Genomic DNA, 13,967 nt, shown 5'->3' with positions numbered 1-13,967 from the left:
AACTCCATAATCCTGAAAAGAGGCAAGTGATAAGATATTGATGATAAATAGAGCATCGGATGTTAAAGGCAGTACTACAGCATGACGACTGTAAACATCAAATTCAGAACAATAAGAAAAAAACAAGAGAGAGAATATATTGAGATGGTTTTTGTTTTTGTTTGTTTGTTTTTTGAGACAGAGGCTCACTCCATCATCCAGAAAGGAGTGGAATGGTGCAATCTCTGCTTACTGCAACCTCTGTGTCCCAGGTTCAAGCCATTCTCCTGCCTCAGCCTCCCGAGTAGTTGGGACTACAGGTGTGTGCCACCACACCCGGCTAATTTTTGTATTTTCAGTAGAGACAGGGTTTCGCCATGTTGACCAGGCTGGTCTCGAACCCCTGACTTCAAGTGATCCACCCGCCTCAGTCTCCCAAAGTGCTGGGATTACAGGTGTGAGCCACTGCACCTTTTGTTTTTTGTTTGTTTGTTTGTTTTGTTTTTTAGTATATATAAGGTCTCCCTTTGTCACCCAGGCTGGAGTGCAATGGCACAATCACAACTCACTGTAGCCTGGAATTCTTGGGCTCAAGTAATCCTCCCACCTCAGCCTCCTGAGTAGCTGGGATCACTGGTGCATGCCACCACATCCAGATAATATTTTTAATTTTGTAGAGACAAGGTCTTGCTAGGTAGCCCAGGCTGGTTTCGAATTCCTGAGCTCAAGCAATCCTCCTGCCTCAGTCTCCCAAAGTGCATGAGCCACTGCACCCAGCTGAGACATCAATTTATCAGATTATAATTTCTGATTTTATAATGAGAAAATTAATAGACATCTCTGGCTCTGCAGAAGACCTATTAAGAGATTGATAGGGAAGAAAATCCTCCCTATAATTGAAGACTATAGAAAAGCAAACGGTGAATACACTAAACAGTTTTAAACTTCAAGGAAGCAATAAGGAAAGAATAAATGCAGGCTGAATTATTGCTATAAAACAGGTTCAAGAAACTAGGACAAGCTTTTATCAACTGATCAAGCAGAAAAGATGCTAAAGGCAAAGTAGCTACTAAGAAATGCAGGTCATGAAATTCATGCTGAGCTACTAGGCTCTGCATGAAAGGCTTATCTTCCACAAGAGCACAGCAGAAACTAAGTGTGATGCCACTGTCTGGGATTCATATGTTTCAATTAAAAATGCTATTTATAGAAGGTAATTTTGTACTGCCACAAGCCAATGGACCAGAGCTTTGGAGTAATTTGTAAAGAAAAGAAATGTTCACAAACTCTTGGGCAGTTAAGAATAACTAATGCATTGTAAGAAACTAGTTAAGGGGATATGGCGTAAATTGAACTGAAGTTCAAAGGTAATTATGGACTGTACTTTCTTGTTATTCTATGTTTTCAAATGCTGCAATAAGAGTTGCAAATTACACATTCATATAGTTTGAAAGGGGGGATGATTTACTGATTCTTGGTAGCCCACAAAAATTAGTTATGCCTTCTTCTGTCCTAGACTATGCAGTTTTGTTTTGTTTTGTTTTGTTTTGTTTTGTTTTGTTTTTTTGAGACAGAGACTCGCTCTTTCACCCAGGCTGGACTGCAGTGGCGTGATCTCGGCTCACTGCAACCTCCACCTCCCGGGTTCAAGAGATTTTCCTGCCTCAGCCTCCCAAGTAGCTGGGATTACAGGCATGCGCACTGCACCTGGCTGATTTTGTATTTTTAGTAGAGACGGGGTTTCTCCATTTTGGTCAGGCTGCTCTCGAACTCCTGACCTCAGGTGATCCACCCGCCTCAGCCTCCTAAAGTGCTGGGATTACAGGCGTGAGCCACCGCGCCCAGCTAGTATGCACTTTTATAACCATTTATGTCTTTTTAAAAAATTCTTCCTACTAGATTGTGAGTTCCATGAGGGCAGAGACAGTCTTCATTCATCTTTAAATTTCTGGGACCATGTGCAGTGCCTGCAGAAATCAGTTATACAATAAACGTCTGTTAAATGAATTTGTTTCCCTCTAGATTAGAAGTTTAGAAAACAAAGACCTACCAATCAATAGGATTTATGGGCGCCTCATGGCAATCAATTCATTAAAAATATTTATTAAAGAAAAAGGTGGCCAAGTGTGGTGGCTCATGCCTTTAATCCCAGCTGCTCAGGAGGCTGAGGCAAAAGGATCAGCTGAGCCTGGGGTGATCATGCCACTGCACTCCAACCTGGAGCGAGACCCTATCTCAAAAAAAAAAAAACAAAAAAACCAAAACCAAAAACCCCAAAACGGCCAGAAAAACAAAAGGCATCATTGAGAAAGACATTAAAAGTCAATCAGAAAGCACTGGCAAATGCTTCCTACACCTAAATAACCATGTATAAAATACCCAGACTGACCGGGCGCAGTGGCTCACGCCTGTAATCCCAGCACTTTGGGTGGCCGAGGTGGGCAGATCACCTGAGGTCAGGAGTTCGAGACCAGCCTGGCCAACATGGTGAAACCCTGTCTCTACTAAAAATACAAAAATTAGCTGGACACGGTGGCACGCACCTGTAATCCCAGCTACTTAGGAGGCTGAGGCACAAGAATTGCTTGAACCTGGGAGGCAGAGGCTGCAGTGAGCTGAGATCGTGCCACTGCACTCCAGCCTGGGCGACAGAGCAAGACTCCATCTCAAAAAAAAAAAAAAAAAAGTGCCCAGACTAGGCATGGTGGCTCATGCCTATAGTCCCAGGATTTTGAGAGGCCAAGGCAAGAGGATTGCTTTAGCCCAGGAATTTGAGACCAGCCTGGACAACATAGTGAGACCCATCTCTACAAAAAATATGTTTAAAAATAAATAATTAAAATAAAAACTAGCCAGGTATGATGACACACACCTAAAGTCCCAGCTACTTGGGTGGCTGAGACGGGAGGATAACTTGAGCCCAAGAGTTCAAGGCTGCAGTGAGCCATGATCATGCCACTGCATTTCAGCCTGGGTAACAGAGTGAGACCCTGTCTCAAACAAACAAATTCCCAGGAAAAAAGCAACTAACAACAAAGTGTTTAGAGAGAATGCTTCGTGTACATAACAGAATTAGTTCAGAAGGATGAGAGAGAATGTGCTAGATATCAAATTTAAGATATGAACTGGGAGTTCCCAAATTTCAGAAGCTTAGGACAAGAAGCTGGAGTCTCTGTGTCTATTTTTTCTTTCTCCCCCAAATCATCCTCTACATTGTCACAAGAGTATGTCATTCTGAAGTTCAAATTTGACCATGTTACTTCCTTATTTAAAAAGTGTTGCTAGGCAATGCACAATGACTCACACCTGTAATCCCAGCACTTTGGGAGGCTGAGGTGGGGGGATCACTTAAGGACAGGAGTTTGAGATCAGTCTGATCAACATAGCAAGACACCATATCTACATTAAAAAAAAAAAAAGGTGTTGCTGCTGACTCACCATTACTAGGAAGAAGCAAAACTTCACATGCAGACATATAAATCCTTTCACAGCTTGGTACTAACCTCTTCTTCCAGCCATCTCGCCACTCAGTCTTCTCTACAAATTTATACATACAGCCATGCTTTCCTACTCGATATCCCCCAACATATTGGGCTCTTTCACACCCTTTGCTTTGGTGTAAGCTTTCTGTCTAGAATGTACCTCTACTATATTTTCTGCTTAGTAAACTACACATCCTTTAAAACCTAGGTTACGGCCAGGCGCAGTGGCTCATGCCTGTAATCCCAGCACTTTGGTAGGCCAAGGCAGATGGATGGCTTGAGCTTAGGAGTTCAAGACCAGACTGGGCAAAATGGCAAAACCCCTTCTCTGCCAAAAATACAAAAATTAGCCAGGTGTGGTGGCATGCACCTGTAGCCCCAGCTACTCGGGAGGCTGAGGCAGGAGGATTGTTTGAGCTGGGGAGGTGGAGGTTGCAGTGAGCTGTGATTGTACCACTGCACTCCATCCTGGGTGACAGAGTCACACCTGTCTCAAACAAAAACAAAAACAAAAACGACCTAGGTTTAATGTCACCACACCCATGAGACCTTATCCAATTTCCCAAGGAGCCAGTTAGCACCTGATATGTAGCTGTATTTTAGCATTTATCATATTCTTTACTTATTTGTTTGCCTGGGTATTACTCCTCTTGGACTAAAAATTGTTCATAGCCAGGGAACATGTTTTATTTGCTGTTATAATATTTCCACTACCCAGAAAGACAGAAGAAGTATTTGTCAAAAGTCTGTATTTGTTCATTTTCATGATGCTGATAAAGACAAACCTGAAACTGGGAACAAAAAGAGGTTTAATTGGATTTACAGTTCCACATGCCTGGGGAGGCCTCACAATCATGGCAGGAGGCAAAAGGCACTTCTTACTTGGTGGTGGCAAAAGAAAATGAGGAGGAAGCAAAGTAGAAACCCCTGATAAACCCATCAGATCTCGTGAGACTTATTCACTATCAAGAGAATAGCATGGGAAAGACCGGCCCCCATGATTCAATTACCTCCCCCTGGGTCCCTCCCACAACACGTGGGAATCCTGGGAGATAAAATTCAAGTTGAGATTTGGGTGGGGACACAGCCAAACCATATCATTCTGCCTCTGGCCCCTCTAGATCTCATGTCCTCACATTTCAAAACCAATCATGCCTTCCCAACAGTCCCCCAAAGTCTTAACTCATTTCAGCATTAACCCAAAGGTCCACAGTCCAAAGTCTTATCTGAGACAAGGCAAGTCCCTTCTGCCTATGAACTTATAAAATCGAAACCAAGCTAGTTATTTCCTGGATGTAATGGGGGTACAGGTATTGGGTAAATACAGCCATTCCAAATGGGAGAAATTGGCCAAAACAAGTTACAGCATCCATGCAAGTCCAAAATCCAGTGGGGCAGTCAAATTTTAAAGCTCCAAAATGATCTCCTTTGACTGCAGGTCTCACATCCAGGTCATGCTGATGCAAAGGTGGGTTCCCATGGTCTTGGGCAGCTCTGCCCCTGTGGCTTTGCAGGGTACAGCCTCCCTCCTGGCTGCTTTCATTGGTCGGTGTTGAGTGTCTGCAGCTTTTCCAAGCACACAGTGCAAGCTGCCAGTGGATCTACTATTCTGGGGTCTGGAGAACGGTGGCACTCTTCTCACAGCTCCACTAGGCAGTGCCCCAGTAGGGACTCTGTGTGGGGGCTCCAACCCCACATTTTCCTCCTGCACTGCCCTAGCAGAGGTTTTCCATGAGGGCCCCGCTTCTGCAGCAAACTTGCCTGGGCATCCAGGCATTTCCATACATCTTCTGAAATCTAGGCAGAGGTTCCCAAACCTTAATTCTTCACTTCTGTGCACCCACAGGCTCAACACCATGTGGAAGCTGCCAAGGCTTGTGGCTTCCACCCTCTGAAGCCACAGCCCAAGCTCTATGTTAGCCCCTTTCAGCCACGGCTGGAGCAGCTGGGACACAGGGCACCAAGTCCCTAGACTGCACACAGCATGGGGACCCTGGGCCCAACCAACGAAACCACTTTTTCCTCCTGGGCCTCTGGGCCTGTGATGGGAGGGGCTGCTATAACGGTCTCTGACATGGCCTGGAGACATTTGCCCCATGGTCTTGGGGATTAACATTAGGCTTTTTGCTACTTATGCAAATTTCTGCAGCCGGCTTGAATTTCTCCTAAAAAAATGGGTTTGTCTTTTCTACTTCATTGTCAGGCTGCAAATTTTCTGAACTTTTATGCTCTGTTTCCCTTTTAAAATGGAATGCTTTTAACACACCCAAGTCACCTGTTAAATGCTTTGCTGCTTAGAAATTTCTTCTGCCAGATATCCTAAATCATATCTCTCAAGTTCAAAGTTCCACAAATCTCTAAGGCAGGGGCAAAATGCCTCCAGTCTCTTTGCTAAAACATAACAAGAGTCATCTTTGCTCCAGTTCCCAACAAGTTCCTCATCTGCATCTGAGACCACCTTAGCCTGGACTAAGCTTATGGTTCACATCACTATCAGCATTTTTGTCAAAGCCATTCAACAGGTCTCTAGGAGGTTCCAAACTTTCCCACATTTTCCTGTCTTCTTCTGAGCCCTCCAAACTGTTCCAACTTCTGCCTGTTACCCAGTTCCAAAGTCGCTTCCACATTTTCTGGTATCTTTTCAGCAATGCCCCACTCTACTGGTACCAACTTACTGTATTAGTTCGTTTTCATGCTGCTGATAAAGACATATCTGAAACTGGGAACAAAAAGAGGTTTAATTGGACTTACAGTTCCACATGGCTGGGGAGGCCTCTGAATTGTGGCAGGAGGCAAAAGGCACTTCTTACATGGTGGCGGCAAGAGAAAAATGAGGAGGAAGCAAAAGCGGAAACCCCTGATAAACCCATTAGATCTCGTGAGACTTATTCACTATCACAAGAATAGCATGGGAAAGACCAGCCCCCATGACTCAATTACCTCCCCCCTGGGTCCCTCCCACAACACGTGGGAATTCTGTGAGATACAATTCAAGTTGAGATTTGGGCGGGGACACAGGAACTTATCAAAAAGAATGAATATCCACACAGCTTCAAAATGGGTTTAGATAAATCCATTGATGATAGTTCCATATAGTCCTTAAGGGCAACTAGAATCTAGTATGTTATGGTACTGTTGTTTTGAGGGGGACATCAAAGGACAACCCTGACAAATCCATTTAGAGTCACCGTCAGAGGCATAAACCTAAACTAGATAGAATTTAGGCTCTGTCCTGACATTGTAATTATTTTGCTCTTTGGGGAATATTTTCTTAAGAATATTTAAGTTAATTTATTAAGCTTTTCTTAAGTCTCTTAGGAGACAGAGATTTTAGATTTCAGTTTTTTAAAATAAGTGCATTAATGCACATCTATAGTCCCAGTTACTCAGGAGACTGAGGCAGGAGGATCACTTGAGGTCAGGAGTTCAAGACTATAGTGTGCTGTTATTGCACCTGTGACTAGCCCCTGCTCTCCAGCCCGGGCAACATAGTGAAAGCATATCTCTAAAACAATAAAAATAATTTTAAAAAAGTAAAACCAGATGTAAACCTACTACCTAGCCCATCTCTCTCCTGGGAAAAGTATCATTTGTCTAGAGACAAAGGTATAAAAAGAATAGAAAGATGAATTTTAAAAACAGTACAATCGCTCCCTTGTAGTTTATAGAAACTCTGTCACTGCTCATTGAATAAACAGATATAAAAAATATAAAGGGCATTTAATTCAGAAACAATTTTCAGTAACAGTTGGTTATTGAGAGGTCCCCTCTCTTGGGCAGATTGCTTGAGGTCAGGAGTTCGAGACCAGCCTGGCCAACATAGCGAAACCCCATCTCTACTAAAAACACAAAAATTAGCCGGGCGTGGTGGCGCATGCCTGTAGTTCTAGCTACTCAGGAGGCTGAGGCAGGAGAATCGCTTGAACCTGGGAAGCAGAGGTTGCAGAGAGCTGAGACTGTGCCACTGCACTCCAGCCTGGGAGACAAAGCAAGACTCTGTCTCAAAAAAAAAAAAAAAAGAGGTCCCCTCTCTGCTTTCCTTAATCACCCGATGTTCTTCTAGCCACACAAGAGTATTGATCATTTTCCAAACATGGCAGCCACTTGCAAATGCCTTTGTTGATGCCATTTCTTCCATCTGGAATATGTGCCCCCTCCTCATTTTTTCCTTTACTTACCTGGTGAAATTTCCCCCACCTTTAATGCCCAGCTACTCCAAATTTAAAGGTCCTCGCTTCTCTGTTTCCGCAGTCCTTTATACATTACATCTATTGCCCTATCATTGCTTTTGAAGTCTTCCTCTCCTCTAGATTCTGAGCTTCTTAAAGTTATGAAGCCTATCTTTTTCTTTTCTTTTTTTTTTTTTTGAGACAGGGTCTCCCTCTGTTGCCCAGGCTGAAGTGCAGTGGCATGATCACAGCTCACTGCAGCCTCAATGCTCCCAGCTTAAGCCATCCTCCCATCTCAGCCTCCTGAGTATCTGGAACAACAGACACGCACCACCACATCTGGCTATTTTTTTTTTTTTTTTTGCAGAGATGGGGTCTCCTTCTCTTGCCTAAGCTGGTCTCAAACTCCAGGCCTCAAGTCATCCTCCCCGTTTGGCCTCCCAAATTGCTGGGATTACAGGCGTGAGCCACCACACCTGGCCCTATGGACCTTATCTTATTCATCTTTGTATTTCCCTGGCCCTAGCTGACTGTCTGCTTTTCATTCATTTACCAAAAATTTATTGAGCAATATGTGTTAGGCACTATTCATAGGTGCTGGAGAATTAAAAAAAAAAAAAATCCCTGCTCCATTGGAGTTCATCTAATAGTGATCAGATAGACAAATATAAATACACAACAACAAACAAGATTATTTCAAAGAATGATAAACCCTGTGGAGAAAATAAAATAGGATAAAGGCAGTAAGTGAGAATGAGGCAACTTTAGGGTGATAAGGTGAGACATCTCTGAAGGTGAGGCTTCTCTGAGGTCGTGATATTGAGCTGAGACCAGTCACAGGAAGGGTCTAGATGAACAGCATTTGACTTCTTTTTTTTTTTTTTTTTTTTAGACAGAGTCTCTCTCCCTCTGTCGCCCAGGCTGGAGGCAGTGGCAAGATCTGGGCTCACTGCAACCTCCGTCTCCCGGGCTCAAGTGATTCTACTGCCTCAGCCTCCCAAGTAGCTGGGATTATAGGTGCACATCACCACCCCTGGCTAATTTTTGTGTTTTTAGTAGAGGCGGGGTTTCACCATGTTGGCCAGGCTGGTCTCGAACTCCCGGCCTCAAGTGATCCACCCACCTCGGCCTCCCAACGTGCTGGGATTATAGGCATGAGCCACCGCACCTGGCCTAGGGGAACAGCATTTGAAGTAGAGGAGACACCACATGCACAAGTTGTAGGACAGAAACAATGGCAAGTTGCAGAACTGAAAGGGAGCCAGCGTGGAAAGTGGTCAATGAAATAAGCAGGGCCAGGCGCGGTGGCTCACGCCTGTAATCCCAGCACTGGCCAACATGGCGAGGCCCTGTCTCTACTAAAAATACAAAAATTAGCTGGGCATGGTGGTACTCGGGAGCCTGAGGCAGGAGAATTGCTTGAACTCGGGAGGCAGAGGTTGCAGTCAGCCAAGATCGCACCAATGCACTCCAGCCTTGGCAACAGAGCAAGACTTTGTCTCAAAAAAAAAAAAAAAAAGAAGTAAGCAGATGTCAGGTTATGGAGGACCTTGAAAGTCACATGAGAAGTAAGAATTTTATTCTAAGTGCAACAGGAAGGCATTGGAAAATTTTAAGCCATGATCTGAGTTTTATTTTTATTTTAATTTTATTTTTTGAGACAGGGTTTTGCTCTGTTACCTAGGCTAGAGTGCAGTAGCAGGATCATGGCTCACTGCAGTCTCAACTTCCTGGGCTCAGGTGATTCTCCCACCTCAGCTTCCTGAGTAGCTGAGACTACAGGAACATGTCACCGCGCCTGGCTAATTTTTTGTATTTTTTTGTATTATTTTTTTTTTTGGCAGAGATGAGGTTTCACCATGTTGCCCAGGCTGGTCTTGAACTCCACCAATCCTCCCACCTTGGCCTCCCAAAGTAGTAGGATTACAGGCATGAGCCACTGTGCCAGACCATGAGTTATATTTTTTAAAAAGTCACTCTGGTTGCTGTGCAGAGAACAAATTATAAAGGGGCAAGTGTGAAAACAGAGAGGCCATTTACATAGATGCTTCATTCATATTTGTTATCAAATGAGCATTTATTCATTGATCTGTTTACCCCAACATTCTGAATATATCTTTACTGTTAAAAGAAGCAAGATATACTGAGCTATTTGCTGCAGAGACTCTATATGTGCCCGGTGTGTGAATATCAGGCTTCTAGGAGATGAAAATGGGCCAGAAAGCCCCACCTATCAGGGTGTGCCCCAAGTTAGGCCAGGGATCTGAATCAGCCACATGCCCCAGATCCCGACTGGAGAACCACTGCTGAGCTGGAACATGAAAAATATTGGCACTAGAAATGATGGTGTGGGCCAGGCGCGGAGGCTCACGCCTATAATCCCAGCACTCTGGGAGGCCGAGGTGGGCGGATCACAAGGTCAAGAGATCGAGACCATCCTGGCCAACATGGTGAAACCCCGTCTCTACTAAAAATACAAAAATTAGTTGGGCGTGGTGGTGCTTGCCTGTAGTCCCAGCTACTCAGGCGACTGAGGCAGGAGACTCACTTGAACCCAGGAGGTGGAGGTTGCAGTGAGCCAAGATCGCGCCACTGCACTCCAACCTGGCAACAGAGTGAAGCTCTGTCTCAAAAAAAGAAAAAAAAGAAAAGAAATGGAGGTTTTGAGGGTTTGCAATTTAAAAAAGCACAGAAATGCAAATGACACTATTCTCTCAGGCTTTCACGCTTTCACTGTTTCTGGTCTTCAGTAGTAGCCCCCTGAACCTAGATAAAAGCAAATCTGTTGCTGAAAGTTAGTAAAACTTTTCCTTACATTCTATGAGGTCTTTCCTGGCTCAAGGCCTTTGCACACACTGTTCCTTCTGCCTGGAAGGCCTCATCCACTCCTAGCCTGATGGCTTTTACTCAGCTTAGGTGTCAGTGCCTCTGGCAGGCCTTCCTCGAACCCCCAAACCTAAGTCCAGTCTTTCCTTTCATAGAACCCTGTACTTTTCCCTCAAAGCCTCTAACATTTGTAACTTCAAATTCATTTGTGGGAGCATTTTTTAAATGCTTCTGCAAACTTGCAGCCCCCTTCAACCATCAGACTGTAAGTTCCAGGGACCCAATATATTTATTTGTTCATCATTGCCTCAGAGTGCCTGGCGCATAATATACCCTTTATAAGTAGTTACTGAGTAAGCGAATCCTGAAATTAAGCCTCTCTAAAGCAAATAGGTATAGGATTCTATTAGTCCCCTTAGCTGTGCCTTCTCTTCTAAAGTTTTAAGAACTGGCCGGGCGCAGTGGTTCACGCCTGTCATCCCAGCACTTTGGGAGGCCAAGGTGAGCGGATCACTGGAGACCAGCATGGACAACATAGTGAAACCCTGTCTCTACTAAAAATACAAAAAAAAATTAGCCAGGTGTGGTGGTACATGCCTGTAATCCCACCTACTGGAGAGGCTGAGGCACAAGAATTCCTTGAACCCAGGAGGCGGAGGTTGCAGTGAGCTGAGATCAGGCCAACCTGGGGCCCAGAGGCAGAGACTGCAGTGAACTGAGATCAGGCCAACCTGGGGCCCAGAGTGAGACTCCGTCTCAAAAAACAAAAAACAAAATAAAACAACAACAACAACAACAACAAAAACTTATCTCCATTCACATTGCCTTCAACAAGAAAGTGATTCTGGAAATAAGATAGAGTAATTCTTTGCAGTCTCATGTTTTAATCTTTTAAAGCAGTTTCTCAACCTTGGCACTATTAACATTTTGGGATGGATAATTCTTTGTTGTGGGGGATGCCCTGCTCACTGTAGAAAGTTAAGCACCATCTTTGAAAGTTAAGCACCATCTTTGGCCTCTATTCATTAGATGCCAGTAACATCAACTCCCCAAAATTGCCGGGTGCAGTGGTGCACACCTGTAGTTCTAACTACTTGGGAGGCTGAGGCAGGAGGATCACCTGAGGCCAAGAGTTCAAAGCAGCAGTGTGCTGTAGTTGTGCCTGTGAATAGTCACTGCACTCCAGCCTTGGTAACAGTGAGACCCTGTCTCTAAAAGAAAAAGCATGGTGGCTCACACCTGTAATCTCAGCACTTTGGAAGGCCGAGGTGGGCAGATCACCTGACATCAGGAGTTTGAGACCAGCCTCGTCAACATGGTGAAACCCCATCTCTACTAAAAATGCAAAAATTTGTCGGGCATGGTGGTGCATGCCTGTAATGCCAGCTACTCAGGAGGCCGAGGCAGAAGAATCGCTTGAACCCGGGAGGCAGAGGTTGCAGTAAGCCTACATTGCACCACTGCACTCCAGCCTGGGCAACAGAGTAAGACTACGTCTCAATAACATAAAACAAAATAAAATAAAATAAAAGGGAAGAAGAAAAGAAAGAGAGAAAGGGAGAAAGGGAGGGAAGGAGGAGGAAAGGAAGGAAGGAAGGAAGGAAGAAAGGAAGTCTTTAGATGTTGCCCCATGCCTGCCAATTCACCTGTGGTTGAGAACCACTGTGTTGAAGTGTGAAACTTCAGGCCTTATTCTCTTGTAGAAGAATTACATATAGAAATTCAGGTTGTTGAATGATTCCCGGGTTATAAGAGAATTCTACCAACCCAGTTGGATCAAAATAGTGCCCACCCCTATCTTGTTTCCGTAGCACTCCCTGCGTTTCCTTTGAAAAGACCATTAGTGATGGTCTAATTCAGGGAAATATTCTGATCTTGGGAAGAAAGAATGCTGGGCTGTTCTAGAAAGATGAAGGAAAGGGGTGGTGTTTCTGAGGAAACCAACGCCTCTGAGACCCCTCTGGAATTGGCAGTCCCCTACAACTTTTCTAGGGGCATGTCCCAGAGGACAGTGAAAGGGAGACAAACAGCCCATTCTGGCCTGCTTTTCAGGATCTCTCACTCCAAACAAGAAAGTCTGAGAGGCCTGGTAAAAATAAATATGGCTTAGTACTCCTGGCACAAGAGCAGTCTCTGACAGCCAAGACTTAACTCACCCTAGGGGGTGACCCAGACAGGGACTATGCACGAAGCTAGTTTCTTACCCATTGATATTCCCAGTGACTCACAGCAGCCAGGGATGACTCTGTGCACCAGAACTGTGCTGAACCGTGGAGAAGGACTTGGGATGCACATAGGAAACAGTCTCTCAAGCTGAGTCAGACAGGGACAGCCCGCCTCTCGTTTCTTCTCCAATTCCAGAAAAACAACACAAATCATGCCTCTGGAAAGGAACCTGTCCTTTGCATACAGAGTGGAAACTGTTTATAACTTCTTAATCCCCTGACATTGAAAGTATGGGGACTGCCTATCCTGGATTTCTTTGGGACAACTGTACTGGCTCTACCACAAGTCCCTAGTTTTCAGCTGGAAAAAAATATGGTCTCCAGAATCCCAAGGTCATTCCCAACAGATTTAAAAGCAAGTCTTCGGCCAGGCAGAGTGGCTCACGCCTATAATCCCAGCACTTTGGGAGGCCGAGGCGGGTGGATCACCTGAGGTCAGGAGTTCGAGACCAGCCTGACCAACATGGAGAAACTCCGTCTACGAAAAATACATTAGCCGGACGTGATGGCGCATGCCTGTAATCCCAGCTACCCTACTCGGGAGGCTGAGGCAGGAGAATCGCTTGAACCCGGGAGGCCGAGGTTGCAGTGAGCTGAGATGGCGCCATTGCACTCCAGCCTGGGCAACAAGAGTGAAACTCCGTCTCAAAAAAGAAAAAAAAAGAGCAAGTCTTCATAAGCAACATATATGAAACCCTGAGACCAACCAAACCTGCATTAGGAAATGAGAGGTGGGAAGGAGGATGCTGGGGAATCAGCCTCTACTTTTGACGTTTTTTCCTCCTTGGATTTTAGGCTGTGGTAACTGATCGAGGCCAGAAATGTTGACAGTCTTGCCTAGCCCCAAGATCATGTAAGCCTGACCTGACGCTACTGCCGCCTTCAGTCAGCAAGAAGAACTACACACCCAGAAAATGCTTCAGTAATAGTTACCATGGTGATGCTAGTTCAACCACATTGCATCTGGATAAAAATTTCAGGCAAAACGATATAGAAAACTACTGCCTAACAAGGAGTTAACACCTTACATCTTTTATGTTGTTGTTGTTGCTGTCGCAAAGTATGGTTCATGTTAGCTTTGGTAAAAGATGGTAATTTGAAGTGAAAGTACTGAAAAAAACAAGCAAGGATGAAATGTCAATGTATCCATTTAGAGAAATCTAATAACCACTTTGCACTATGCCAAATTACTTTCCCCTCAGCTAACAGGGGGCATTTGGGTCTTCCTGACTCTATTTACTGGTGAGGAAAGTGAGTTAATGAAATCCATAGATGATCCAAGCCCA

The 13,967-nt window shown here is 44.6% G+C and overlaps 3 annotated features.

Annotated features, from left to right (window-relative positions):
• Positions 8,320 to 8,820: an enhancer, noted in NCBI's record as "H3K4me1 hESC enhancer chr11:46946339-46946839 (GRCh37/hg19 assembly coordinates)". NCBI's record gives its function as "activates a minimal SCP1, AML or CMV promoter by ChIP-STARR-seq in primed H9 embryonic stem cells {active_cell/tissue: H9 hESC(primed)}" and the evidence as "EXISTENCE:reporter gene assay evidence [ECO:0000049][PMID:30033119]".
• Positions 12,633 to 13,132: an enhancer, noted in NCBI's record as "H3K4me1 hESC enhancer chr11:46942027-46942526 (GRCh37/hg19 assembly coordinates)". NCBI's record gives its function as "activates a minimal SCP1, AML or CMV promoter by ChIP-STARR-seq in naive H9 embryonic stem cells {active_cell/tissue: H9 hESC(naive)}" and the evidence as "EXISTENCE:reporter gene assay evidence [ECO:0000049][PMID:30033119]".
• Positions 13,133 to 13,634: an enhancer, noted in NCBI's record as "H3K4me1 hESC enhancer chr11:46941525-46942026 (GRCh37/hg19 assembly coordinates)". NCBI's record gives its function as "activates a minimal SCP1, AML or CMV promoter by ChIP-STARR-seq in naive H9 embryonic stem cells {active_cell/tissue: H9 hESC(naive)}" and the evidence as "EXISTENCE:reporter gene assay evidence [ECO:0000049][PMID:30033119]".

The sequence above is a fragment of the Homo sapiens genome, chromosome 11, assembly GCF_000001405.40.
Source record: "Homo sapiens chromosome 11, GRCh38.p14 Primary Assembly".
Lineage (NCBI taxonomy): Eukaryota > Metazoa > Chordata > Mammalia > Primates > Hominidae > Homo > Homo sapiens.
Note: the sequence above shows the minus strand (reverse complement) of the source record. Positions and strands in the feature narration are given on the sequence as shown.